This window comes from Homo sapiens, chromosome 9, assembly GCF_000001405.40.
Source record: "Homo sapiens chromosome 9, GRCh38.p14 Primary Assembly".
NCBI lineage: Eukaryota > Metazoa > Chordata > Mammalia > Primates > Hominidae > Homo > Homo sapiens.
Genome location: NC_000009.12, coordinates 38,575,755 through 38,603,731, shown reverse-complemented (window position 1 = coordinate 38,603,731; position 27,977 = coordinate 38,575,755). Strand labels below are relative to the sequence as shown.

General features: G+C 36.5%; 1 protein-coding gene across 9 annotated transcripts in view; it reads left to right on the top strand.

Moving 5' to 3' along the window:
* ANKRD18A (ankyrin repeat domain 18A) overlaps positions 1–27,977 on the top strand; it is a 54,446-nt gene that overhangs the window by 16,865 nt on the left and 9,604 nt on the right. For 7 of the 9 annotated variants that reach the window (XM_024447483.2, XM_024447481.2, XM_024447480.2 and 4 more), the window contains 8 exons: positions 520–573; positions 2,528–2,601; positions 7,329–8,246; positions 9,823–9,972; positions 15,069–15,181; positions 17,420–17,549; positions 25,584–25,865; positions 26,468–26,679. In XM_024447483.2, coding sequence (XP_024303251.1) covers positions 520–573; positions 2,528–2,601; positions 7,329–8,246; positions 9,823–9,972; positions 15,069–15,181; positions 17,420–17,549; positions 25,584–25,865; positions 26,468–26,679 — 1,933 coding nt within the window. The remainder of the gene's footprint in view (positions 1–519; positions 574–2,527; positions 2,602–7,328; positions 8,247–9,822; positions 9,973–15,068; positions 15,182–17,419; positions 17,550–25,583; positions 25,866–26,467; positions 26,680–27,977) is intronic. The other 2 variants (XM_017014576.3, NM_001331100.2) reach the window with 1 other exon arrangement.

The following is a 27,977-nucleotide window of genomic DNA, read 5'->3' as shown; positions in this document are numbered from 1 at the left end:
TCAGGGTATAAAGCTGGGATTGGCAAGCTTTCTCTGTAAAGGGCCAAATAGGAAATATTTTAGGCCATGTGGTCTCTCTCTCTCTTTTTCAAGAACGATTTAAGCAGCTGAAGGCCATGTGGTCTCTGTCGTAGCTACTCAACCCTGCCATTGTAGTGTGAAAGCCGTCATAGGTAGCATGTCAGTGAATAGGCATGACTGTACTCTCATAAAACTGCATTGAGAAAAAACATATGGTAGGCAGGATTTGGCCTGTGGTCTGCAGTGTACTGACCCATTTTGTAGAGGATAGATGGAGGATAGATGTCACCTGGGAGCCTATAGTTATTATTTACTGTGTATTTGGTATGTTCATTAGATGCCATTCACTTTTAAATTTGTGGTGATGAGTGCAAGCTTCTAAAAAAGATGGGTAGGATTTAGGGTAAGCATGCAGAGTAAGTGAAACTTTGCCAGGTAAGGAGGCAGAGGGATGATGTTTTCCAGAAGGAATATCTAACAAGTTTGCATGTTTGACAGAAACAGCAGCTATGAAGCCTGCAAATTTGAAAAAAAGAAAAGAACGTGCAAAAGGTAAGACACTTGAGTTCTCTACTCCTAACCATGTAAAGAGACTGGGAGACAAGGGAAGCTTCAGCCGTAGTTAATGGTATAGTTTCCTTGTCACAAATCCATGGAGTACATCAGTCTATTACAAGGTTTTCACCCATCCATGATAAAATAAAATGATGGAGCTCCAGTTTATTCATTTGAAAATATTGGTGTTGCTGGGGACGGTGGCTCCTGCCTGTAATGAGTCAGTGTTGGAGGCTGAGATAGAAGCATCCCTTGAGGCTTGGAGGTCCAGCAGCCTGGGCAACATCGCCAGACCCCGTGACTATTTTTTCAAAAACTGTAACTGGGTGTGGTGTTCTGCACCTGTAATTCCAGCTACCTGGGAGGCCAAAGCAGGAGAATTACTTCAGCCTAGAACTTTGAGCCTGCAGTTAGCTGTGATAGCAACATTATACTGTAGCCTGGGTGGCAGAGTGAGACCCCATCTCTCAGAAAATTCAAGTCAAATAAGATAAGATACAATAAAATAAAATGTTGGTCTTTTTCTTGGAATTATGCTTTTCTAATTTGTTTTGCTTTTTTAAAAAATTTAAGAAATGACAATAATAGTTGGTTTATATAAGGCTTTCAGAAACTGGCTTCTGCCCAATTCTCCATCTGCAGCCCTTTCTCTGTCTGCCCCTTTTTCTGGCATTTCTGAGCTGCTGGTGATGCCCCTGTCACCATCCTTCTCATGTAAACAAAAACATACGCTCTGGGAGGCTTCTCTCCCTCTCTTGCCGCTGCCTGGCATGTGCTATCTTTCCTGCCCTCTGCCTCTTTTAATCTGGTGAATCTCACTGTCTAAGTCTCAGCTCAGGCATGATCTCTAGAAAAGCCATCCCTGACAGCTTTTATTCTCATTCTTTAAACACCTGTGCCTACCACTTAGCAGGAACTCAATAAATATTTAGTAAAATAAAGACTGTCTACACAGAGATGATTGCTACAGTCTAGCAACAAAGGGGATAGACATGCAAAGACCTGATGTGCAGCTCAGATGGTGAAGTGACACTAGAAAAATTCAAAAAGTACGAAGGGAGCCCCAAGAAAGGAGACACCTGTGTACGTGGAGAAAAGATAGCCAGATTCAGGGAGGACTTCACATAGAATTTTGAGCCTTTTTTCCTTTTTTTTTTTTTTTTTCTGTTTTTGGAAACAAGTTTTTACTCTGACACCCAGGGTGGAGTGCAATGGCATGACCGAGACTCACTGCAAACTGAAACTCCTGGGCTTAAGGGATCCTCTTGCCTCAACCTCTTGAGTACCTGGGACTATAGGCACAGACCACTATGCCTGGCAAATTTTCTATAGAGTCAGGGTTTCACTATGGTCTCTGGGCTGATCTTAAACTCCTGGCTTCAAGCAGTTATCCCACCTGGGCCTTCCAAAGTGCTGGGATTACAGGTGTGAGCTACGTGCCCAGCCTACATTCTGAGTCTTAAAACACAAAAATAAATTCCTCAGAATTGTAGAGGAAAATATTTCAGATGTAAAAAACAGGGTGTACACTGTAAAGGTATAACAGTAACAAAAATTTTGCAAATTATTAGTAAATAACGTGCTTAGCATGTTGTTAAAAAGATACTATTATGAAGCAGAGAATAGTAAAGTGTTACTTTATATGTTTTTACTGTATTTTTAAATTTTGTTTTGTTTCCAGCAGTTTTGTTTTTTTATATTGGGTGGAATAATTTTTGGGTGACCCTGAGACTTTTGCATGGCTTGAACCTGCTGATATCTAGCGTCTCCCCAAGTGGTTTGTTAAAGTTTTAGGTAATTAGAAATGTTTCTTAAAAATGTAAATATTCCAGTAAACATTAAGCTTCATTTAAACTCTCAATTTATAAAAGTGTGTGTTGTTCTGTATCAATTTTTATAAAGATTATAGTCTTTAAATCATTCATTTTAACTAAACATATGGATTTGTCAGCAGAACACAACCTAAAAGTGGCTTCAGAGGAAAAGCAAGAAAGGCTCCAAAGAAGTGAAAATAAACAGCCACAGGTATGTAACAATTTAAATTTCTGGTTTAATACTGGTTTGTTTGTTTGTTTTTCTTTAATAACATAGCATAGGCCAAATGAAGTGACCTTTTAGACTATCCTTTTAGAATCCAACAGAGCATAATTTCATATTGAATTTTAAAATATTTTAGCCTGTTATAAAATGTAAAATATTCTAATAGTCTATAGTAACTCATAGCTATCTGTACCCTTGGAATTGAGGCCAGAAATTTCCAGAACTCTCTTTGCTCTTTTATTTTTATAATCTTCTTCCTGATAAAGAAGGTAACATCAAAAATGGAGTTGTATTACTAAGCAAGAGAAATGATGAGCAATTGAACGGTGATGGCCACTGAGTTCACCTCATGTGAAAGGAGTCATCATTCCCGGTGGTTCAAACTGCAATTTTATGTTGCCGGTCACCAGTGCTGAGGTTAAAGACTTCTTCTGTTTTTTGGTTTCTGGTTGCCTTCAGTGTCTATGTTCAGGGAGAAGATGGGGTCATAAAAGCAATCCAACTGCCTATTGAGAGAATTATGCTTTCCAGAATGGGACTTTGGTGTCAGGGTGCAAACAATAACTTTCTTGTTTTAACATAAGTAGAAAATGCTATTAAAATTTGTAAAGCGCTGTCACTAGTGGAGCTTAGAATATATTAGATCTGGGTATAAGCAGATAACCTATCTAGATAACACTATCATATTACAGTATAGCATTTGAAGTAGAATCTAAAAGTTTTCTTCCCTTTCTGATTGGTATTCATTTTGGCTTCTAATAATTTAGCATTTGCCTACTCTTTAATTAATCCTAGAAATATGAATTCACTGTAGGGGTTCACTATTTAGGGTATGCTGAGGTAAAAATCTTTTCAAGAGAGAAAGCCTTTAGATACTACATATCATCTGTGAACCTATTTCTGTCAGATTTAATTGATAATGAATTAAGTTTACTCCAAACAAACAGTGAGAGTTAAGCTTCCTGGTTCACGTTTTTCCCCTATATTAAGCCAAGGGAAATTATTTTTACTTCTTAGTTATAATCCAGCAACTTAGGAGTAGTAAAACATAGATTAAGTTTCACAGTTCAGTTTTAATTATTTTCTATTTTTTCTTTGTTCATACTTAATTTAGAATAAAGTTAATTTTAAAACATGCACCCTGTCAGAAAAGACATCTGAGAAACAATTTAGAATAAAGTTAATTTTAAAACCTGCACCCTGTCAGAAAAGACATTTGAGAAACAAAAGAAGCAAATTAATTTTCCACTTTTGCACCTGCAAAAAAATGTCTCAAGAACCAGAACTGAGTAAGAATTGTAATAAAGAGGATATATCTGTATATTCAGGACTTCCTTTAAAATTCATTACAATTCTGGGCGTGGTGGCTCACACCTGTAATCCCAGCACTTCGGGAGGCTGAGGCAGGCAGATCATCTGAGGTCAGGAGTTCGAGACCAGCCTGACCAACATGGAGAAACCCCGTCTCTACTAAAAATACAAAATTAGCTGGGTGTGGTGGTGCATGCCTGTAATCCCAGCTACTCGGGAGGCTGAGGCAGGAGAATTGCTTGAACCTGAGAGGCAGAGGTTGTGTTGAGCCAAGATTATGCCATTGCACTCCAGCCTGGGCAACAAGAGTGAAAGTCCATCTCAAAAAAAAAAAAAATTCATTACAAAAAAGTTCAACTGAAGATTGGTGAAAGTTTTGAAAAATCCAGAATTACTGTTTGTCCTGAGGAAGAGCTCTTACACTGTAACTCTAAAGAGGGACAAACTTAAAGGGAGTGCCCCGTAATCTGATGAATCCTATCCCTGATGGTGAGGAAGCAGACGCACCTGGAGTGTCTAACTCTGTGGTATTCTAGGCATTGGCTGAACAGAAGGAGCCCATCTCACTCAGGTCTTATCGTTGCATTTATACTCTGGGTCCCTCCAACACACTTGCCAGTCATCTTCTAAGCTTTATTCAAATGAAAATAGATCAGACTGTAAAAATTATAACAAACCAGACATGCAGCCTGTTTCTCACAGAGAAGAAGAAGAAAGAGAATTGTTGTAATGATACAGAAATTGAAAAATTAAGGAACCCAGTAGTTATGGCTGAAATGAAAAAAGACCAAGAGTTTGATATGCAAATACGAGAAAATATAACCCAAAATACCACAGATTGGAAATTAGTCATTAGACATTGGCCTCAGTCTGTAGATCCAAAAAGTCTTTTTGATTTGTGGTTTGCTCACTCCAAAGAATGGAAGCATGTGATACGAATAGAAAGCTACAGTATTTCTGCTATTGCAGACACTTATGAAGCCGAAAACCAATACAGCGCTTGTTCCACAAGCCATATGGAACTTAGAAGCTCTTCTAAAGCTTAGAAGGTGTTTGGCAAGTGTGTTTCAGGGACCCACATATGACAGTCCCACTGCTAATATCTATAAAAGCATGAAACCTGAATTAGAAAATGTGAGTTATTCTCCACCACATAGTGATGACAGAACATCAAAAGCATGTCTAGAAGAAGACTTACAGCAAGATATGCAAAGGCTTAAGAATGAGATAGGCTTGTTACAAGTAGAGTTCCTGGCTTTGAAGAAAAAAAGTTCAACTATAAAAGAGGTTCCTTTGCTGCTTCTCTTATTATAAGTTATCTGATCCGTTCTGGTTTTCTACTCAAGAAAATCTCATGTGTATAGTTACAGTGGGGTTATCTAAATGTGTAATTATGTGTCAAAGTAGATTAGTGCTGCTATCTAAATGACGGTTCTGGAAAACATTCTCATAATCTTTGTTCATTCATCAACCTAAGTCTCACTGTGAGTTTTCCAAGTGGCATATGGGCTGGGAAAATTATTTGGCCATATACCATGTGACCTTCTGAACCAGATAAGCATAAGGGAAATTGCTAAAGAAATAATGTCTAGATTCTTTTTTCTGTATTCATTTAAAGATGAATTACATTTATTTAAATGATAAAATGGTAAGACAGTGGGAGGAAAGCAATGACTGAGAAGAGACATGAAAATGTATCTGACCTTGAGAGTTGCAACAAATATTCCCAGCCAAACCAGTCTGTTTAATGTGCTTTCATGCATGCAAGTTTATCTGTTTGACTCAAACTGTTTAAACTTATAATTCCATCATGGCCACTTTAAATGTTTTTGGAAACAAATACACATACTTTCACATATTTAAGAAAATCACCACTCTCCAATGTTTCTGTTGAATCAGACTTTTACATGATGTTGTTTAATAAAATATGGTAGGTTTTGACATGTATGATTTTATCATATAAGTAGCGTAACTCCTCAGCCAAAAATTTAGCATTTGACTCTATAGTAGAAGGCTGAGTCCTGTACGTTATGTTCTAAAGATAGACAAAAATCTAGAGATTTTCTTCTTTCAAAGTAAAAGCAGATGAGGCCTCCCACCACCCTCTGAGCCATTAAATTGTTTTGCCAAAGTCACACTTTTAATTTATTTGACAAATTTGATGTATTTATCTGGTAATTGATGTAATTCAGCAATATGTAATTGTATCTTCCCTTTTGGTGCCACGAAATGCTAGGCAATGCCACCTTAGGAGCTTTGGGTGAGTTACTTAATATTTCTTGGTTTTACTTCCAGTATCAAGTAGATATGGGGCTAGAGTGGACAGCTATACTGTGTATCTTCCAGCTACAAACTTCTGTGGTGATTGAATGTAAATTTGAGGAACATCTCATTTTCCAGGATTCCACACTAGAAACTCAGCAGTTTCACTCGGCTCCTTGTGTTGTGGCAAACTTTGGTTCCTCTATTTCAATGAGCACCTTCACTTTTTTGATATCCCAGGAACCAAATGAAAAAATAAGGAGAAAAGGCAGTGGGGAAAAGAATATCTTAGTGCAGAAAAGGGAAAGCTTCTTTTCTGTTTCTGAAGCCCCACAAGGTCACATCCTCTCAATCTGGCTATTTCATGGAGAATCCAGGTGACAAAGGCAGAAGACACATTTTATGCCTGTGTCTTTTTGTTTCTCTGTTTTTGTGTTGATATATTTATACCACAGAGGTAACTGTGATCTGATGGAGAACTAGAAGTAGAGTCAGAAGCCCTGAGGAAAATCCTGCAGCTTGCTTATATTTTTAACCTGTCTTTTTTAAGGATTGTGATAACTAAATAAGTTCATCAATGTATGTATGTAGAAGTGCTTAGTACAATGTCTAGATTTATGATTTAGTAAATGTAATTCTTACAACTAAAAAATGTTGAGTCAAATCACAATAGAATATGATCAGGGAAACAGAACTTTTAAAACTTTGAGAGATTTTATCTGTCCAAATAGATGTCGAGGTAAAGGTCTTACTATAGGGTGGTGTCTGGGTTAGATATCAGAGTATAAATGCAATTTCCTTTTTCCAAGATTTTAATTTAGTCAAATTTTTTAACAACTTTATGCTTTGAGTTTGTTGTAATTCAGAGAAAGGCTTTTCCAATTCTGATATTCTTAAAAATTCTCTAGAGTGTGTGTGTGTGTATTTTATGGATTCATTGACTTCAAATACATTTTTGAACTTTTTGAAATGTATGTTCTCTAAGGTTCAAGGTTTTGCTTCAACTTTTTCTCCAGTTGGATATCCACTTACAGCAACTTTTAATTGCATGAATGTATAGATTGCTCTTTCACTTCAGAAATAACCATCATAGATTATTTTATTGAGTGCTAACTAAAAATTTGTTTTGTTTTATTTAGGATTCTCAAAGTTACGGAAAAAAGAAGGATGCGATGTATGGAAATTTTATGTTGAAGAAAGACATTGCCATGCTCAAAGAGGAATTATATGCAATAAAAAATGACAGTCTCAGAAAGGAAAAGAAATATATTCAGGAAATTAAAAGCATTACAGAAATAAATGCTAACTTTGAAAAGAGTGTAAGACTCAATGAAAAAATGATAACAAAAACAGTGGCCCGGTATTCGCAACAGCTTAATGATCTGAAAGCTGAGAATGCAAGGCTGAATTCAGAATTGGAGAAGGAAAAACACAACAAAGAAAGACTAGAAGCTGAAGTTGAATCCCTCCATTCTAGCCTGGCCACTGCTATAAATGAGTACAATGAAATTGTGGAAAGAAAAGACCTAGAACTAGTTTTATGGAGAGCAGATGATGTTTCTAGACATGAAAAAATGGGTTCTAATATTTCTCAACTAACAGATAAGAATGAGTTGCTTACTGAACAGGTCCATAAAGCTCGGGTGAAGTTCAATACCTTAAAAGGTAAGCTCCGTGAGACAAGAGATGCTCTCAGGGAAAAGACATTGGCTTTAGGAAGTGTACAGCTGGACCTAAGGCAAGCACAGCATCGAATAAAGGAAATGAAGCAGATGCATCCAAATGGAGAAGCTAAAGAAAGTCAATCCATTGGAAAGCAGAACTCTTTAGAGGAGAGAATACGTCAACAAGAACTTGAAAATCTCTTGCTTGAACGACAACTAGAGGATGCTCGTAAGGAAGGCGATAATAAAGAGATAGTCATTAATATCCACAGAGACTGTCTTGAGAATGGAAAGGAAGATCTTCTAGAAGAAAGAAATAAGGAATTAATGAAAGAATATAATTATTTAAAAGAAAAACTGCTTCAGTGTGAAAAAGAAAAAGCAGAAAGAGAAGTAAGTATGAAGAAAACTATAAACTTCTGGAAAGAAAATTTAAATATTTCATTCTGGCTATATGTTGAACCTAGTTCAATATACAAATAAATAGATGAAAATGTGTTTACCATTCTGTATAATTCCATTTACATGAATCATCCAGGAAATACATCTATAGGGACAGAAAGATGATTAATGTTTGTGTAGGCCTGGGGCTGGAAGCGGGTCGTGACTGCTAATGGGCATTAGGGATTGTCCTGGAGTGATGAAAATGTTCTAAAGTTGGATTGTAGAGATGGTTGCACGACACAGTAAATTTACTAAAAATCTTTGAACTGTTTGTTAAAAAAGATAAATTCTATAAATCATATTTCAACAAAGCTGTTTGAATAAAAATCATATTTCAACAAAGCTGTTTTAGTAAACCAAAAAAGTGTTTACTATATCAGCTTGGAAACATGCTTTGTTTCCAGGAGATAAAAGGTAGAGCTGACAAGATGCTTTCCTTTGAGTAAAGACATTATGTCACCTATGAAATGTTAGTAGATGCAGAGCAATGCTGATAAGGTGTGTAGTCTTAGACTACTGAAATAAGAAATGTAACGTCTTCATGTTGCCGCATTTTAAGAGCATAATGAAGCAGGTAAGTGGAAATGCTTGTACCTGAAATGTGTATTTTGAAAATCAGATTCAATTAAGTGAGCTGCTTTGACACTTAATTCTAGATTTTCCAGATGAACTGAAGTGTGTTGCTGTGTCTTGTGATGCTTTTCCTTCAGTGGCTCTCTCTTATATGTATTTTAGTTGGTGTAACTTTGTTTTGATTCATGCCAATGTGACTTAAGTCTGAAAATATGTCAGTCTCACATTATGTATTTTTCTGACCACTTAGTATTTTAAAGACTTCTACTTGTTATAAAATCACAATTTGGAATAAATGTGGTAAATTTTAGCAAAAAAATATTTGATGTAATGTTTCCACTGGCAGGTATTTATAATTTACTGTGAATATTTTTATGAGTAATTAGCTCATAATTTACATTTTAAGTCTCAATGACTATCATTTGGATATAATTCTTTCCAGTACAAAGATACTTTTAGCTGTCTGTGATTTATGAGTTTGACATTGAATCCCCATTTTCAGACTAATGAGGGGTGGCAGAGTTCACAGAGAGTGGGATTGAAGTTTGTACGGGACAGAGTTGTAGGAGCTGAGGTCAGGGAGGGAGGTAGAGGCCATGTTACCTAGGGCCTTGAAGGCCGTTGGAATTTTATTCTGAGGTAGGAATCCGTTGGAAGGATTTCAACAGGCGACTGAATATGTGAGGAACTCAGGTTGAGTTGAGGGTCTAAGGTGAGTGAATAGCGGGCTGGATCAATCTGTCATGTAAGAGAATACCAATTTGGCAGGAATATAACACCTTCTATGTCCCTCACTGAATTCAGTAATAAAGAAGAAAGTGTACATATGAGGAAAAGAAAGTGAATCTGTGTGTGTGGTAATAATTTTCAAAGTATGTATGCTAGACTTAAATATTAACATAATTTAATAATAAGCCACTTTATAAAATTGGTAACAAAAATATTTTGTCAGGTGATTGTGAGAGAATTTCAAGAAGAACTGGTCGATCACCTTAAAACATTTTCAATATCAGAGTCTCCACTGGAAGGTACATCACATTGTCATATTAATTTGAATGAGACATGGACTTCAAAGAAGAAATTATTTCAAGTAGAAATTCAAGTATGTATGGAATTTAACATGTAGACAGTTAATCTGTAGCTGGTTGAATAATATAAAGTGTCTTAGGATACTAATTTCAGTGGACAGCTTGATTTTATATTTTATTATAATTGATCATTACCATTTTATTATCTTTATAACGTACTTCTTCAACTCTGGCTCTTGTTCTGCCATTTTGAAATAATAGTTGCATATGTTTTCTCTTATAATATCTACACTTGGGAAAGTTGAGAATAATACATCATTCCTCACAGAAAATTGACTTTTTTCCCGTTAAACAGTATTTTTAGATAATTTCCTTAATGCCTTGGTGAGGCAAGCCAGATTAAGTCAGAAGAGAATGTTTAATGGAATATTCCAGCAAGTTGTCTTATTTCTTCACTTTTGTGAATGGACACAGCAGCTGTGCGTATTCATTTCATGGATTCTAGGTTAACTTGTACAGAAAGGCCATCATACTGTTCTTTGAAATGCACATGTTTTAGGTTAATTTACAAACTACTTGAAAAGTTAGGCATTGCCTTCATCTTCCTTTCATTTAAAATATACTGTAATGGCGTAGAAATACTCAGATCTAATAGAGTATGTACATCCAAAATGGAGAGCTCAGAAAATTATCTGGATCCTACCATGGGATTTTAAAAACAGTTTCACTGAGAGATAATTCACATGTCAGACAGTTCAACCATTTAAAATGTACAACTCAGTGTCTGTTAGTATATTCACAGTGCTGTGTGGTCATCAGCATAATCAATGGTAGAACATTTTCACCACTCTGAAAAGCAACCCTACATCTCTTAGCCATGACTGCAACCCCACTCCATGTCTCTCCACCTACCCCAGTTGTAGGCAACCACCATCCACTTTTGTCTCCACAGATTTGCATGGTCTGCATATTTAAATACATAGAGTCATACAATATGAAGTCCTTTCTGACTGGCTCTTTCACTTAGCAGAATGTTTTCAGAATTTTATCCATGTTGTAGCACATATCAGTAGTTTATTCCTTCTTATTGTCAAATAATAGTCTATTTCATGGCTACACCAGTTTTCCATTCATTCATCAGCTGATGGACCTTTAGGTTGTTTCCACTTTTTGGCTATTATGAAAACAGCTGTTGCAAACATTCATTTACAGGTTATTGTATGGACATATGTTTTTATTTCCCTGCCATTGGACTCTATCCTCAGAGTTAATTGGGCAGATATCAGCACCAGTTTTACCCATGCTGTCTTTCCTGCCTTCTCAGTTCCTGCTCATCTAGCCTCATTCATTCAGACCTGGCAGGCAATTTCCTCTTCTTGAAGCTTTCTCTGACTGTTCTCTCACTGACCTTACATCTCAGCACTTGTTGCCCAGTCTTCAGAACAACTTAGCCCTTAATTTGACATGGCTTTTCATTTTTAATGGAAGATAATTTTGTCTTAACATAAATTTGCTTAAAGGGAAAATAATATATGACATGAATGTCGCCTATCCTTCTATAAATTGAAAATAGTTTAGCTTGGCAGCTTTCAGCATAGAACAAAATATACCCTACCAATTACTTCTTTGAGACATTAACACAGTAAATCTTTTATTCTAAGTGTATTTTTAGCAATTAAATATGAAATTAAAACCAATTAGTCTAATAGAGGAGAATTGTTCAATCAAATGCTCATGTTTTTCTCAGTATGAAAAAAGAATCTAAATTTGCCTTCCTTCACTATGTAGCCAAAACTGTATTTCTGGATGGTTGCCAGTTTGTCAGCTGAATAGTTCTGGCTGCAGCTTGTCTGATGAAGGACAGCACAGCTCCTTAATCCGAGCGCTCAGCAGAGTACTCGTGAAGGCAGTGCCACAGCAACAGCTGCTGGGAGGGAACTGATTCAGAAGACTTGATTTAGCAATAGAGTCCAGGGTTTTCAGCTCCGTGGCTCAGCCTGTCTCTGCTGGTCATGTCGGTTATGTACTACTCAATCCAGGAGGTGCTGTTTCCATTGTAGTACATACGTGACTGTTGCCCACTGAGTCACACAGAGAGAAGAGTAAGCTATAAATTATACACTCCCCATTTGCTGCCACTTTCAGTGGTGTGAAGAATGATTCAGTGCATCTATAGAAGGCCACTTCCATTGGAATGCCACCTCCCTAACACATACAATGGTCAAGAGATAAAAAACAGTGAAAATTATCATGCTAATAGCAAATATTGTCTGTAGCTCACTATGTACATGTACTCTTCTAAGTGCTTCTAAGCAAATCTTACCTGTAGCTCACCATGCACCACATACTCTTCTAAGTGCTTCATGTCAGTCCCTGGTTTAATCTTCCCAACATCCCAGTGAAGTAGATGGTATTATTCTCTCCATTTCATAGATAAAGAACCGGAGACACAGAAAATTAATTTGCTCAAGGTCGCACGGCTAGTATCTGGTAGATCTGGGATTCAGACCCAGCCCTTCTGGCTTCTGTGTAGAACTGCCTCTCAAACCATTCCATGGAACACCTGGTTGGTGAGGTGGCTCATGCCAGTAATTCTAGCACTTGGGGAAGCTGAGGCAAGAACAGTGCTTGAGCCCAGGAATTTGAGACCAGCCAGAGCAATATAAGTGAGACCCTGACTCTACCAAAAAAAAAAAAAAAATTAAACAGCTGGGGCATGGTGGTGCATGCCTGTAATCCCAGCTACATTGGAGGCTGTGGTAGGAGGGTCGCTTGAGCTCAGAATATCAAGGCTGCAGTGAGCGGTGATCAAGCCACTGCACTCCAGCCTGGGTAACAGAGCAAGCTCTGTCTCATAAATAAAACGTTTTGTATAGATTCCCATAGAATTGAGTTAGACATCAGGCATAGAATTATTAGCCGCTTTGATGTCTGCCTTGGGAGTAAAACATATAATAAGGGGCAGCTTTAAACCATCTCAATCAATAGCCTCTAACTTCTCCAGAAGGTTCTTATTTCATGAATTCCTAAGCAGGAGACTACCTGGATTAAGACATTTGGTGGACACCATTCTGAGATGAAGAATCTCGATCAGGAAGAAGGGAGATCTCTACTTACTGAAGCTTCCCAATGACATAGTTGAGTGTCCCCCAAAAGGAACTTTAGAACAAGATGTTCATCATGCCATATCTCTATGGAAAAGGAAATTCTTTAAAAGAAAACAAAGGCAAACAATTGATAATCTGATTCTCATGGAAAAGTTTTCATTATAAAAGAAAAAAGGGCTGGGTGCCGTGGCTCACATCTGTAATCCCAACACTTTGGGAGGCTGAGGTGGGTGGATTACCTGAGGTCAGAAGTACAAGAAGAGCCTGGCCAACATGGTGAAACCCTGTCTCTACTAAAAATACAAAAATTAGCTGGTGGTGTGCAACTGTAGCCCCAGCTACTTGGGAGGCTGAGGCAGGAGAATCACTTGAACCCAGGAGGTGGAAGTTGCAGTGAGCCGACATGGCACCACTGCACTCTAGCCTGGATGACAGAGTGTGACTCCATCTCAAAAAAAATAAATAAGAAAAAGAAAAAGAAAAAATGGACAAAATATACTGGTACAAAAAAGAAGAAAGAGAGAGAGGAGAGAGAGAGAAAGAAAGAGAGAAAGAAGGAAAAAGAAAGAAAGAAAGAAAAAGAAAGGACAAAGCAAAGTATACTGGTGAATATCCTAAGGGTGAGACAGCCCCCCTTCAAGATTAGAAAATAACACTGTACTCAAAGTAACATCCATAAGAATCAACATAAAATAGACAAGATTCACTATCTACAAAAGTAATCTGCACCAGGTAGCAAATGTATAAGTGTGTGGTTGAGAATATTGTCTATAATATGTGTACTAGAGGGAAGAGGCCTCAGTAAAAAGGTCAGAGCTGGAAATTTATATTAGGGAATCCAGGTTAATGTTTTGAGATATTAGGAGTTCTGAGAGAATTTAAAAAGAGGAGTAGCAGCCAGGCATGGTGGCTCACGCCTGTAATTCCAACATTTTGGGAGGCCGAGGAGGGCAGATCATGTGGTAAGGAGTTCAATACCAGCATGGCCAACATTGTGAAACACCATCTCTGCTAAAAATACAAACAATTAGCTGGGTGAGGTGGTGTTGCAGAATCAGGAGGACCAGAGAGAGACCTTGGGGTGTACACAGGAAGATATCTTTATCGAGTGTACTCAGACCCAGCGGACTCAACATCTGACAAACTGGGCCCAGAACAAAGACAGCACTTGACTTTTATACACACTTCAAAAATGGGGTGGGCTAGCTTGAAGCAGGCTTACAGTTACAGTGGTGTGAAAGCACGGATACAGAGGCAGAACAATTAATTAAATTGTGACAGGTTCATAACTTAGGATTACACATGACCTTTGCCAAGCAACCCAGATGTCTGTTACCTAGGTTTTGCTCTAAAGAGACTTGCACTGGTTTATCTCAAGTTTCAATATAAAAACACAATAAGTGATGAAAAATAGATCTCTGGATGAGACCCTGTGTCATAGAGTCCAATGGAAGGGGAGAAACAGGATAATAGAAAAGCCACAAAAAGTAGACAAAAGTTATTATTTGTGTATTGTAGAAAAAATAAACTTTGTTTAAAGAGAAATGGTTAATAGACAGGGAAAAACCGAAACCTACCGGTGAATACTCACAGAGAATGACAGTATTTAGCTCAGCCTGAAGATAGATGAGGATCAAAAATGTAGTGGGAACTAGATAAGAGTTTTCTAAAAATCATCTTAGTAAGATGTAATTTAACTTGGAATATCTTAAACTATTAATGACAATGTTTCTAGAGCATCTTTAAAAACTAAAATGTAAATATTACTACTCTTAATGTATCTTACTAACCCTTAGTACTTTATGTGTAAAAACTCTCATTTTTAACAAACATTTTTGGCAGTTTAAATTTCAGAAAAGGTAATGATGAAAGTGTGAATCTTTTTTAGCTGTTTTAAGAAAATGACTAGTTTTGAAATCTCGTTATTGGCATCAGGTTTGTAAAATGCACTTTATACAACCGCCTAAATACATATTATTCATCAACTTATGAGAAATAATATTTTTAAGATAGAAGAGGGTCTCTAGATTTTACAAAAATAATTTTAAACACTTTTTTTCAAGCCTGAAGAAAAACATGAAGAATTCAGAAAACTTTTTGAATTAATATCATTACTGAACTATACTGCGGACCAAATAAGAAAGAAAAATCGTGAATTAGAAGAAGAGGCAACTGGGTATGGTTTTCATATTGTAGAACATTTTAACCATTTAGTAATTGATTTAACTCTAACTTTACTTGACTAAAACTTTGATACAAATCCATTTTATGTCTTCATTTTCATAATTAAATGAATTCTGTTTTAAAATGTATTTCAGAAACTGACAACACAACTTTATAGGCATGTGAGCAGGAGTCCATGACCCTTGGACTTTTTTGTTGGAATTATTAAAAAAATCAAATTTCAGTATAAAAACACAATAAGTGATGAAAAATAGATCTCTGGATGAGACCATGTGTCATAGAGTCCAATGGAAGGGGAGAAACGGGGTGGAAGTCAGCTGAGCTGCTGGGGCGAGATTGGGATGAAAAAATTTATATTAAAAATATGTGAAAAAAGAAACTTACAACACAATCTGAAATTTTTTTGAATGCCAAAACATTACGCCTATTTTTATTTATTTATTTATTTATCTTTTGAGACAGAGTCTGGCTCTGTCACCCAGGCTGGAGTGCAATGACGCGATCTCGGCTCACTGCAACCTCTGCCACCTGGGTTCAAGTGATTCTCTTGCCTCAGCCTCCTGAGTAGCTATGATTACAGGTGTGCACCACCCTGCCTGGCTAATTTTTGTATTTTTAGTAGAGATGGGGTTTCACTGTGTTGGTCAGGCTGGTCTCGAACTCCTGACCTCATGATCCACCTGCCTCAGCCTCCCAAAGTTGGCATGAGCCACTGCGCTTAGCAACGTATTCTTTAATGATTTTGAAAACAATAATGACAATGCTTTGGACATGTAATGTCAAGTGCACTTTTCATTATCTAGTTTGAATTTTTATTTCTGAAGATATTTTTGCTGTATTTGGTCATCTTTTCTTCCTTTTGTAATATTCTTCTCTGCTGCATTCAAATTTTTTAAAGACCTATTTGTGTCCTTCTTTAACATCAAAATTTATCTTGATATATAGCTTGTATTTTGTTTCTGCTTCTTTGTTTTTCTTTTAGATATAAAACATATCATGGAAATTTACTCATTTTACATGGGTACCTCCATTGTATACATGAAGTATACATCTTATTAAACTTCTGTTTTACAGAAATAAATTTTATATATAAAAAAGTATAACCTAAAGAAAAAGAGTAAAATGAGCATTCATGTTTTGATCACAGACTTTTTTTAAAAAAATGGAATGTGTCTTTGAAGCCCTGAACACAGCTACTTTTCCATGTATTTACTGAGCACTTAAGTTGGTTTTCTGATTCTAATCAACATTTTTCTGCCATTGTCTTTCTCTACATGGTTTTGTACCTTTCATTTTGTTGACATTATGTCAGTAAAGATCTCTAGATCTCTTCTTCAAAGTCTTTAAATCATCACATATCTCTCTCCACCTTTCCTTTTTTCTAAAACTGCCCGTTTTCTTTTTCTCCTCAATTCAGACATTAAAGATGTTTTCTTCTCTTTTTCTACATTGAATAATGTCCTTGTGCTTTTTGGGTGTACTTTTTTTTCTTCTTATAGACTGTGGTCAACGGATATCAAAATGTATTTTTGTGTCTTTTTCAAACATATATGTGTTTTACTTTTTAAAAATCTTGGTTACTCATCTCTCGGTTATGCCTTATATTTACTAATACGTTATTTCATCTTAGCATACCAAAATGGATATGAATAGTCTATTTATAAAAAACTGTATGGTTAGGCCAGGTGTGGTGGCTCATGCCTGTAATCCCAGCAATTTGGGAGGCCAAGGCAGGTAGATCATTTCAGCTCAGGAGTTCAAAACCAGCCTGACCAACATGGTGAACCCCATCTCTACTAAAAATACAAAATTAGCCAGGCATGGTGGCACATGCCCGTAATCCCAGCTTACTTGGGAGGCTGAGGCAGGAGAATCACTTGAGTCCAGGAAGCAGAAGTTGCAGTGAGCCGTGATCACGCCATCACACTTCAGCCTGAGCAACAAGAGTGAAGTTCCATCTCAAAAAACAAAAACAAACAAAAAAAAAACCAAAAACTGTATGGCTATTATCACTTTACCTGCTATATATACCATAAAATTGTTCTTCATATTATTTATATAAGATTATAATTTCATATAGAATGCTTTCAAACTATGTTCAGTTGAAACTGAGAGGATCATAGTTTATAGATTTGTTTCTTTGATATGCCATAACATAATATCTGTTTAAACAATTATTAAATATTTACTCTTAAAAATACTTGACTTACTAGTTCTTACATTTCTGCAGATATAAGAAATGCCTAGAAATGACAATAAATATGTTAAATGCATTTGCAAATGAGGACTTCAGTTGCCATGGAGACTTAAATACAGACCAACTGAAAATGGATATTCTGTTTAAGAAGCTAAAACAGAAGGTAATTTTAAAAAATTATTATTTTATCTTAAGGTCTAGATTACATGTGTAAGAGGTACAGGTTTGTTACATAGGTAAATGTGTGCCATGATGGTTTGCTGCACGTATCAATGCATCACCTAGGTATTAAGCCCCGTAGGCATTAGCTATTAATCTTGATGCTCTCCCTCCTGACCCCAACAAGCCCCGGTGTTTGTTGTTCCCTTCCCTGAGTCCATGTGTTCTCATCATTCAGCTCCCACTTATAAGTAAGAAGATGCAGTGTTTGGTTTTTTGTTCCTGCGTTAGTGTGCTGAGGATAACAGCTCCGAGTTCATCCATGTCCCTGCAAAAAGCATGATCTCATTCATTTGTATGGCTCCATAGTATTCCATGATGTATATACACCACATTTTTTTATCCTGTCTATCATTGATGGACATCTGGGTTGATTCCATGTCTTTGCTATTGTGAATAGTGCTGCAATGAACATACAAATACATGTGTCTTCATAATACAATAATTTATATTTAAACATAAGGTAATTTTAAATCAGTTTGGGGATTAAAATTATGTAATTTGGAGAAATATTAATAATGGATAAACCCAAATTCAGCCAAAATACATCTAAGGAGGTTGATTCTGAGCCAGTATGGTGACTGTGGCCCTGGATTACCCAATCTCAAGAGCTCTTGAGAATGCTTCATGAGACAGTCACATTACAGTTTGGTTTTGTACATTTCCAGCAGACAGAGTTGTAGGGAAAATCATAAATCAATATGAGGAAGACATACATTGGCTCAGCCTAAAAGTGGGACATCAAAAAGGAGGGGCTAACAAGTCATAGGTGGGTTTTAAGGATTCTTTAGGTGACAATTGATAAAGAAAATCTGTTGTCTAAAACTGGAAATAGGTATAAAGGAAGGCCTTAATTAAGATAAGGTCATTATGGAGGTTAAGGTTCTTATTATGTAGATGAAGCCTCCTAGCTGGCAGCCCTCAGAGAAAATAGAGGGTAAATATATCTTTTCAGACTTGAAATGCATCAGGATCTTAGTTAATCTTCCCTAGATCTGGGAAGACCTAGAAGGGGAGAGATTGGGCTACATTAATGAAGACTTCTTACAGATGCAGATTCCCCCACAGAAGGCAGCTTTGTACTGCCATTTCAATCTCTTGGCCCTGCAACAGCCATTTCAAAATATGTCAAAAAATATATATTTGGGGGTAAAATAACTTTGATTTTTTTCAGCTTCTTCTCTCTGTGATGCTGTACCAGAATCAGGTTAGAAAGTAAACCACATTATAAGAGTTAATAAAACCCATCTGATGAGATTTGATTGTTTGAAGGGTGTGATTCCCAGACCCTTTAGATAGAAACTGGGGCAAAAGAATACAAGGTCTTGCTCCTCAATATAAATCTCTCAGTGCTTTAAGCAGTGAAAGATTTTTCATTTAATTTTACAGACTTGATACTAATAAAAAGATACTTTAAAATATATGTATGTATATATTTTTCCTTACAAAAGATGTGCTGTTGATTCTCTTATGTCTTGAACCCTGGCCAGTGATCTGAAACGAAGCAGCCCATGTCTCCAGATCACTAGTACCAAATAAATTTTGGGGTGTAACAGGTTTATTGAGAAGTAATTAACACACCATGCAATTCACTCATTTAAAATATACAAGTCATTCAATTTTACTATTTTCAGAGTTATGTAATCATCATTACATCAATTTTAGAACACTTTCATCACCCTAAAAACAAACCCCACATCATTTAGCTATCTTCACTAGTTTTCCCTTCCTCCCTCAGCCCTAGGGAACCACCCACCTTCTTTGTATAGATTTGCATATAAGCCTCTGAAATAAAAAGCAAGTGGTCGACTGGGACTGGCTTATTTCACTTAGCATAATTTTTCATGCTGCATCTGTGCTGTAGCAGGTATTGATGCAGGGCTTTCGCTCCTTAGTTCAGCCAAATCTGGGTTCTTCTCTCATGACCAGGAAAAATTAGCCATGTGGACCCATTGAAGGGTGAGAAGGACAGAATTTATTAAGTGAAAGGGAAGCTCTCAGCAAAGAGAGGGGTCCTGCAAACAGATTTCCACCTCACAATTGAATACCAGGACAGGCACACAGGAGCTGAAGAGGCCAGGCTCCTCCTCTGCATAAGGCGTGAATTCCTGGTGGCTCCACCCCATCCCCCCAGTGCATGTGGGCCTCCAGTCTGCTGCTGGCAAGTCCAGGCAAGCCCCTGTGCAGGTTCCCTTATCTGCACCGGACGTTTTATCTGGTGTAGACACTTGTGGGCCTGGAGATTCTCTGGGGACCCTTCCATATCTGCCTAGGCATTTTGCTGTCTCCTGCTTCTATCAGTATCAGTACTAAATTTCTTCTTATTGCTGAGAAATATTCCATTGTATGGATACATTAAACATTTTATGTAACCATTCATGAGGTGATGGACCTTTGGGTTCTTTCCACTTTTTGACTCTTATTAATAATGCTGCTGTAGGCCAGGTGTGTTGGCTCACACCTGTAATCCCAGCACTTTGGGAGGCCAAGGCGGGTGGATCACGAGGTCAGGAGTTCGAGAGCATCCTGGCCAACATGGTGAAACCCTGTCTCTACTAAAAATACAAAAATTAGCTGGGCATGGTGGTGTGTGCCTGTAATCCCAGCTACTCAGGAGACTGAGGCAGGAGAATTGCTTGAACCCGGACCCAGGAGGCAGAGGTTGCAGTGAGCTGAGATCACGCCACTGCACTCCAGCCTGGGCTACGGAACAAGACTCCGTCTCAAAAAAAATATAGTAATAATGCTGCTGTAAACATTTATGTATGAGTTTTTGTGCTTGCATATGTTTTTATTTTTCTGGAGTATATACTTATGACTGGAATTTCTGGGTCATACAGTAACTTCATGCTTAACCTTTTGAGGAGCTGACAGTTTGTTTTCCAAAGTGGCTGCACCACTTTACATCCCCGGCAGCATTGGATAAGGGCTTTAATTTCTTTACATTTTTCCTAACACTTATTTTCTCTTTTTTATTGAACAAAGATTTGGTCCTGTGGTGTGAAGTGATACCACAAGGTGGTTTTGATTTACATTTTCCTAATGACTAATTACATTAAGCATCTATTAATGTGCTTATTATCCGTCTTTATATCTTCTTTGCAGAAATATCTATTCAAATTCTTTGCCCATTTGTTAAATTGGGTTATCTTGTTATTTATGAATGGCAAGGGTTCTTTATATATCCTATATATGTAAGTCCCTTATCAGATATACACTTTTCAAATACTTTCTTCTACTCAGTGTCTTGCCTTTTCACTTCTTGATACTGTCTTCTCAGGCACAGCAGTTTTCAATTTTGAAGTCCATTGAATCCATTTTTCCTTTGGAGTCATAGCTAAGAAAACACTGCCAAATGCAGTCACAAAGATTTATGCCAATGTTTTCTTCTGAGAGTTTTATAGTTTTAGCTGTTACAGTTAACTGTTTTGAGTTAATTTTTAAATATGGTATTAGGTGAGAGTCCAACTTTGTAATTTTTTTTGCACATGGATACCCAGTTGTTCCAATATCATTTATTGAAAAGACTATTTTTTCCCATTCTGTTTTTTTGTTACCTTGTATAAAATCAATTGACTGTAAATGTGCAGGTTTATTTTTAGGTTATCAATTCTTAGTTTATGTCTATTCTTATACGAGGACCAAATTGAATTTACTGAGAAAATTTTTTCAATCATGTTGCATATTACCAGTTGTCTTATGTCATAATAAAAATTAAATGTAGTAGAATATCTTTAACTTCACCTTTTGTGTCTCAAAGGAGTCTGTGGCCAGCTTATACCTTACTTACTCTAAGACATGATGGCAAGTCAGGCTTACGAGACACACTATTTCTTTTTTTCTCCATTTGAACCTTTAGTCTCTTATCCAGTGCCTCCCTCTATAGTTTCATTTTCAGTAAATTTTGGTCGCAGTATCTGCTGAAATAGTCTACTATTTAGTGCCTTATGTTTTACTAACTCATTATAATTCATAGAATCATCCATAGATGTTTACCATCCAGGAAGGAGGAGTTTAAGTCTGAGCTGCCAGCTTTCCTCAGTGGAAATCAAGTGAAGTCATCATCTTTCAGTTCACAGATCCTCTTTCCACCTGGCATCTTGTTCTCTTGTGTAACACTGTGGCTAATCCTTTTCTTGGTGCAGATCTTGCATTCTCAGAAACCACGGTTTCTGTATTGACCTCCTATTACTGAAACAGAGATGCACAGCTCTGCTTTCTAGCTCAGTAGAGGATTCTTGGAATAAAAAGTTTAACTCATTCCAAGAAAAAGTTTTAGGAGTGCAGCACTTAAAAATCAGGTAATATTCAGGCAATTTATCAGAGACAAATAGTAGATTAGTATTTTGAATTTCAAAATTTCAGAGCCAAGTTGTGTGCTATAGAGAAGCATTGCGGTATAATACAGAGATGGGATGGTCTTAACTTCTCCATGCAAACAAACGTGAAGTAAGGTAAAGGAGAAAATGCATTTGATGTCTTAACACTCAAAGTATGCTGTGTTTATTTTACTTCTGTGAAGAGTAAAAGTCATTCCATAATTTTCTCCTTATTTCCTCATTGAGAAAAAGGAAAATGAAAATCGAATACTAGATTGATTAATAAATACTTAGAGCTTCTTCTTTTAGAATTTTCATTAATTGAAATCAGGTAAATGTCTGATTTTGGTTATGTAACCAAGTATTTCCAGTTGTTTTTCAAATCATGTGTCTTCTTGCTTTGCAGTCTTATTTCCTAACTTGAGGGGAAATGGTAAGGAGACACCCTTGCCTTATTATCAGAGTTCATAATTGAAGGGGGTTTTAGGAAAAGTTCCTCCTCAGCAGCTTACATCTCTCTCCTGGTTATCTGCTGTTTCTCAATAATGTTTGTCATCAACAAATTAATCTCAACATTTATTAGATCCTACTTTAAAGGAGACTCTTTTCTGCTACCTAAGTTGTTTCCTGTTGTCTCTTTTTAAAACTTATTTTTCTAACAATTACCCAGAGTTTTGTGGCTTAAAAGAAAAACATTTATTTTGTTCATGAACCTGTGGTTTGGAAAAAGATTGGCCAGGACAGCTTGTCTCTGCTCCCCTCAGGTTCCCTAGGAAGTTGGAGAAATTGAATCATCTGAAGCTTTGCTCACCCATGTGTTTGATGGTTGATGCTGGCCACTGGCTGGAACCTCGGCTGGGGCAGGCAGCATGAACACCGACACTGGCACTCCCAGGCTGTCTTTGTGGACTGATCTCTCTCACAATCTGGGGGCTGAGTTCGAAGGGAAAGCAGTCTGAGATAGGGAAGCTACATGGTATCCCTTTTACTGCATTCTATTCATTAGGAGAAGGCCATCAGTAAGGATGGCCCATATTCTATTCTTTTAATGGGATGAATATAGATTCTCTTTTGTTTTAATTGACATGTATATACATAATTATGGGCTATAGGGTGACATTTTGATAAATTTATATAGTGCATAATGATCAAGCTAACTAGCATATTTACTACTTCTTACTACTTCAATCATTTTTCATTTCTTTGAATTGTGAACATTCAAAATCTTCTAGCTTTTTAAAAATATTCAATAAATCATAGTTAACCATATTCACTCTATAATGCCACAGAACATCAGAACTCATTCCTCTTATCTAACTGTAATTCTGTATCCATTAACCAGACTCCCCTCTCCTACTTCTATGAGCTTTTTTGTTGTTAAGAGACAAGGTCTTGCTAGTGTAGTCTGGGCTCTGGGCAACTGTAGAGTCATCCAGGCTAGAGACAGTGATTTGATCATAGCTCACTGCAGCCTCAACCTCTTGGGCCCATGTGATCCTCTGACCTCACCCTGCTGAGCAGCTAGGATTATGGGCGTGCACCATTGCACCTGTCTGATTTTTTACTTTGTAGAGATGTCTCTCTATGTTGTTCAGGCTGCTCTGGAACTTTTGGCTTCAAGTGATTCTCCTGCCTCGGTCTTTCAAAGTGCTAGGAAATTACGGGCATCAGCCATGTTGCCCAGCCCTCAATTTTTCTTTAGCTCCCACACATGAGTGAGAATGTGCAGTATTTATCTTTCTGTGTCTGCACTTAACATAATATCCTCCAGACTGAGCCACGTGGCTACAAGTAAGAGGATTTCATTTTTTTATATGGTGAGTATTCCATTGTTTATGTGTACCACAATTTTTTTGTCCATTCATTTGTTGATGGACATGTAGGTTGATTTTATACATTAGCTGTTGTGAATAGAGCTACAATAAACATATGAGGACAAGTATCCTTGTGATCTATTGTTTTCTTTTCTGTTGCCTGAATACCCAGTAGTGGGGTTGCTGGATCCCTCGGCAGTTGCATTGTTCATTTTTTGAGAAAGCCTCATGTTGTTTTCTATAGTAGCTGCACTAATTTACCTTCCCACGAACAGCATGTAAGAGTTTACTGTTCTCTGAAACCTCACCAGCACTTTTTTGTGTGTTTTCTGTGATAGCCATTTATTGAAATGGAGCAAGATTATATCACATTGTAGGTTTGATTTGTATTTCCCTGATGATTAGTGATACTGAACATTTTAAAATGTATTTGTTCGCTATTTGTATTTCTTTTTTTTCTCTTAAAAAAAGGAGAAATATCTAATCGGATCTTTTGCCTAGTTTTGAACTCAGATTATTTTTGTTTACTGTCAGGGTGTTTGAGTTCCTTGTGTACTTTGGATATTTGTCTTGTGTATTTGGATATTTTGGATGAATTGCTTGAAAATGTTTTCTTCCATTCTACAGGTTTTCTCTTCACTCAGTTGTAGTACCATTTGTCTATCATTTGTTTGTTGCCTATGCTTCTGATGTCTTACCTATACAAATCTTTGTGCAGACTAATGTCCTGAAGCATTTTCCCTATGTTTACTTATAATAGTTTGATAATTTGGGGCCTTACATTTCAGTCTTCAATCGATTCTGAGTTTATTTTGCTATATGGTGCTATATAGATAGGAAGCTAGTATCATTCTTCATATGGGTAGTTTCCCAGCGCTATTCATTTGAAGAGGGTGTCCTTTCCCCAATGTATGTTCTTGGCACCTTATTCCAAAATAAGTTGGCTGTAAATATGTGGATTTGTTTCTGGGTGCTGTATTCTATGGCCTTTACCCCAAGAATCATTACTTCTTAAAATGCAATTCAAATTAGCATGAAACATTTGCAGTTTAGGGAAAGGCTTATGGCATCAGAATCCTTATTTACAGGATTCATTATTTTGTGTTTTTTTGAGATATTGTCTTTGTCTATCGTCCAGGAAGAAGTGCAGTGATGTGGTCATAATTCACGGCAGCCCTGAACTCTGGGTACAAGCCATCCTTTTGCCTCAGTCTCCCAACTAGCTGGGTCTACAGGCCTGAGCCACCATGCCTGGCTAATTTTTTAAATTTGTTTTTTTGTAGAGATGGGGGTCTCACTATGTTGCTCTGGCTGATCTCAAATTCCTGGCCTCCAGTGATCTTTCTGCCACAGCCTCCTAAAGTGCTGGGATTACAAGCATGAGCCACCATGCCTAGCGTAGAGTATTATATTATTTTCAAAGTCTTATTCTGAGAGCCATTTATTGACTTTGGCCTAAATAACTCAATATGATATCTCTGAAAGTTTTTTTGACAAATTTTGGGGAATGATGATGAGGGAAGAGGGTTAGACACTTTTTACTAAGAGATAACTTAGTGCCATTTAAGGAGGAACAAAAATGAATTATCAGAAAAATAAAAGTAAAAGCAAGTGCAAAAGTTCTGTGGCAAAGATGATGACAGTAAAGCACATTTTTGTGACTCATGGTAGCTTTAACTTTGTTCTTAAAATTCTGAGTAATTTAAGGGTTCACATTTGAAGAATCTACTACATTATAGATAACATTTTATTTCAAGTCAATGCATTTCAAAATTTGCTATTGGTTTTGTATTGGATTATTCTCAGCCTACTTCATTATCAAGCTCTATTATTTTCTTAATGCAGTTTAATGATCTTGTGGCCGAGAAGGAAGCTGTGTCTTCAGAATGTGTCAATTTGGCCAAAGACAATGAAGTTCTTCATCAGGAGTTATTATCTATGAGAAATGTACAAGAGAAATGTGAAAAACTTGAGAAGGATAAAAAGATGTTGGAAGAAGAAGTATTAAATCTTAAGACACATATGGAAAAAGATATGGTAGAACTTGGTAAACTACAAGAATATAAATCGGAGCTGGATGAAAGGGCAGTGCAGGAAATAGAAAAATTAGAAGAAATCCATTTACAGGTTAGTTTTTAAAATCAGGTAAGTTTATCTGTAATGGGCTTTCATTTATTTCACTGCAAACTATATTTTGGATATGTATATATTGTGTTTCCTCTGCCTCTCTTACAGCAATTTCCTTCGTAGAGTTCTAGAAAAAAAGTGACTTTTTTCCTTTTAAATATTTAAATTTCCATTATTATTATAACAAAATCAATCTTTCAAAGTAATGATTCTCACTATAGAGTAAAAGGGGGAATTTGATGATTAAGACCAGGTGGCATAAGAGAAAACTGTGATTTAGAAATTATATGATACTTTTGAATTGGTCTTAAGCTACGTTGTTCATTGTTCACTTTTTAAAATTATAAATGGATTCTATTACTTTTTATAGGACAAGATTACATTAATACTAACATAAGTATGATTTCAAATTTTTTTAAATCAGACAATTCTGAATTCAGTTATTAGTTTTGTTGATATTGCTGATAAATATTTTAAGCTTCAGCCTCTTTTCAACATACTCAAAATTGCTCTTCGAATCACTGATTCAAAATGAAAGGCAACAAACCTATGGTAATTAACTTATAATTGTTTTAAAAGTGTATTCTTTTCATTTGTTTTAGAAACAAGCAGAATATGAAAAACAATTAGAGCAGTTAAACAAGGATAATACGGCTTCACTAAAAAAGAAGGAACTCACACTTAAAGATGTGGAATGTAAATTCTCCAAAATGAAAACTGCTTATGAAGAGGTTACAACTGAATTAGAAGAATTTAAGGAAGCCTTTGCAGGAGCAGTGAAAGCTAACAATTCCATGTCAAAAAAATTAATGAAGTAAGTCAAAACATACACTCATAGAAAATGAATTCAGCTCATTAATTTGTCTTAAAAGCATAATTTTTAGTGAGATGGCTTCAGGAGATCAGTAGGAAGTGAATGCTAATTTGATAATGTAATTTTGGAAAATAATGTTAGTAAATAATCCTACCTTTAAAATGTTCATCAAGGATAGTTTCTGTCTCTCTTCTCTTTTTTTGTTTTTGTGTGGCTTTTTTCCCCTGAAAAGTCTCATGTAGTTAACCTGACCTGTTAGTTTTTTTCACTAAGTATTTTTGAAGCTTTATGATCAATAAAGTGATCTTGTTATAAAATTACTTGTCAGAATTTCCCTAAATGGGAATATTAGTGAGTTTAATTTATTTTTTGGTAGATCACAACCTAAACCCAAAGTGTCAAGTGATACTGCTACTCTGGGCACATCCTGGCACTCAGGCAGGGACTGTTTTTGATTGTGATCTTTGGTATTATCACTAGAGGGTGCCTCAAGAAAGACTATTTGTGTAACATTTTCAAGGTGTTACATAAAGTCATCCTTGTGAAAGAGGGAATAATTATCACAGGAATGAAAAGAAGGGTAATCCACAAGGGTTCAAAAATAACACCTTTTTCAGCCTGAAGGGCTGTGTGGAAGGCAGAAAGAACAAGCCCCACCTCCAGTGCCTTGGTCACGGTGTTGAGGGCTAATTGCCTTCAGAGATGCTTTAGTTCTTTTTGATCACCAACCAACCAGTCTAGTTCTCCCCCAGGAGTTGTTGCTCTGAGTTATTCCTCAGTGCCAAATACTTAAGTGTTCTTAGAGAATGGGTGAAATGTACAAGGGTGAAACCTGAAACTGGTTTACTAAACACAAGTATTTCTAGATTATTTTTGTTCATTTTAGTTTTCTTAATCTACATTATTTAAGGAGTACAACATGATGTTTTCATATAATTATTTATAGTGAAGTAGTTCTTATAGTCAAGCAAATTAACGTAATCATTTTCCCACATAGTTACCCTTTAAATACAAGTATATCTAAAGGAATCTTTAGAATCTTATAAGTAGAGCTATTTTAGAAGGCAGCTAGGTTACCTGTTGAGCCGTACATCACTGATAGCCATTTCTCTTCCCTGTCCACTTTGAACTGCTTGTTCAGTAGAAATCACCTTAGAAACACATATACTTATTTAGGATGATTTTAAAATTACCGTTACTTACAAGAGGTATGCCCTCACACATCTTTGTGTGAAAGCACTGTTTAATGGGTATTTTGGTTTACTCTCAGGGCAACTTTTTAAAAAATGCAAGTCATT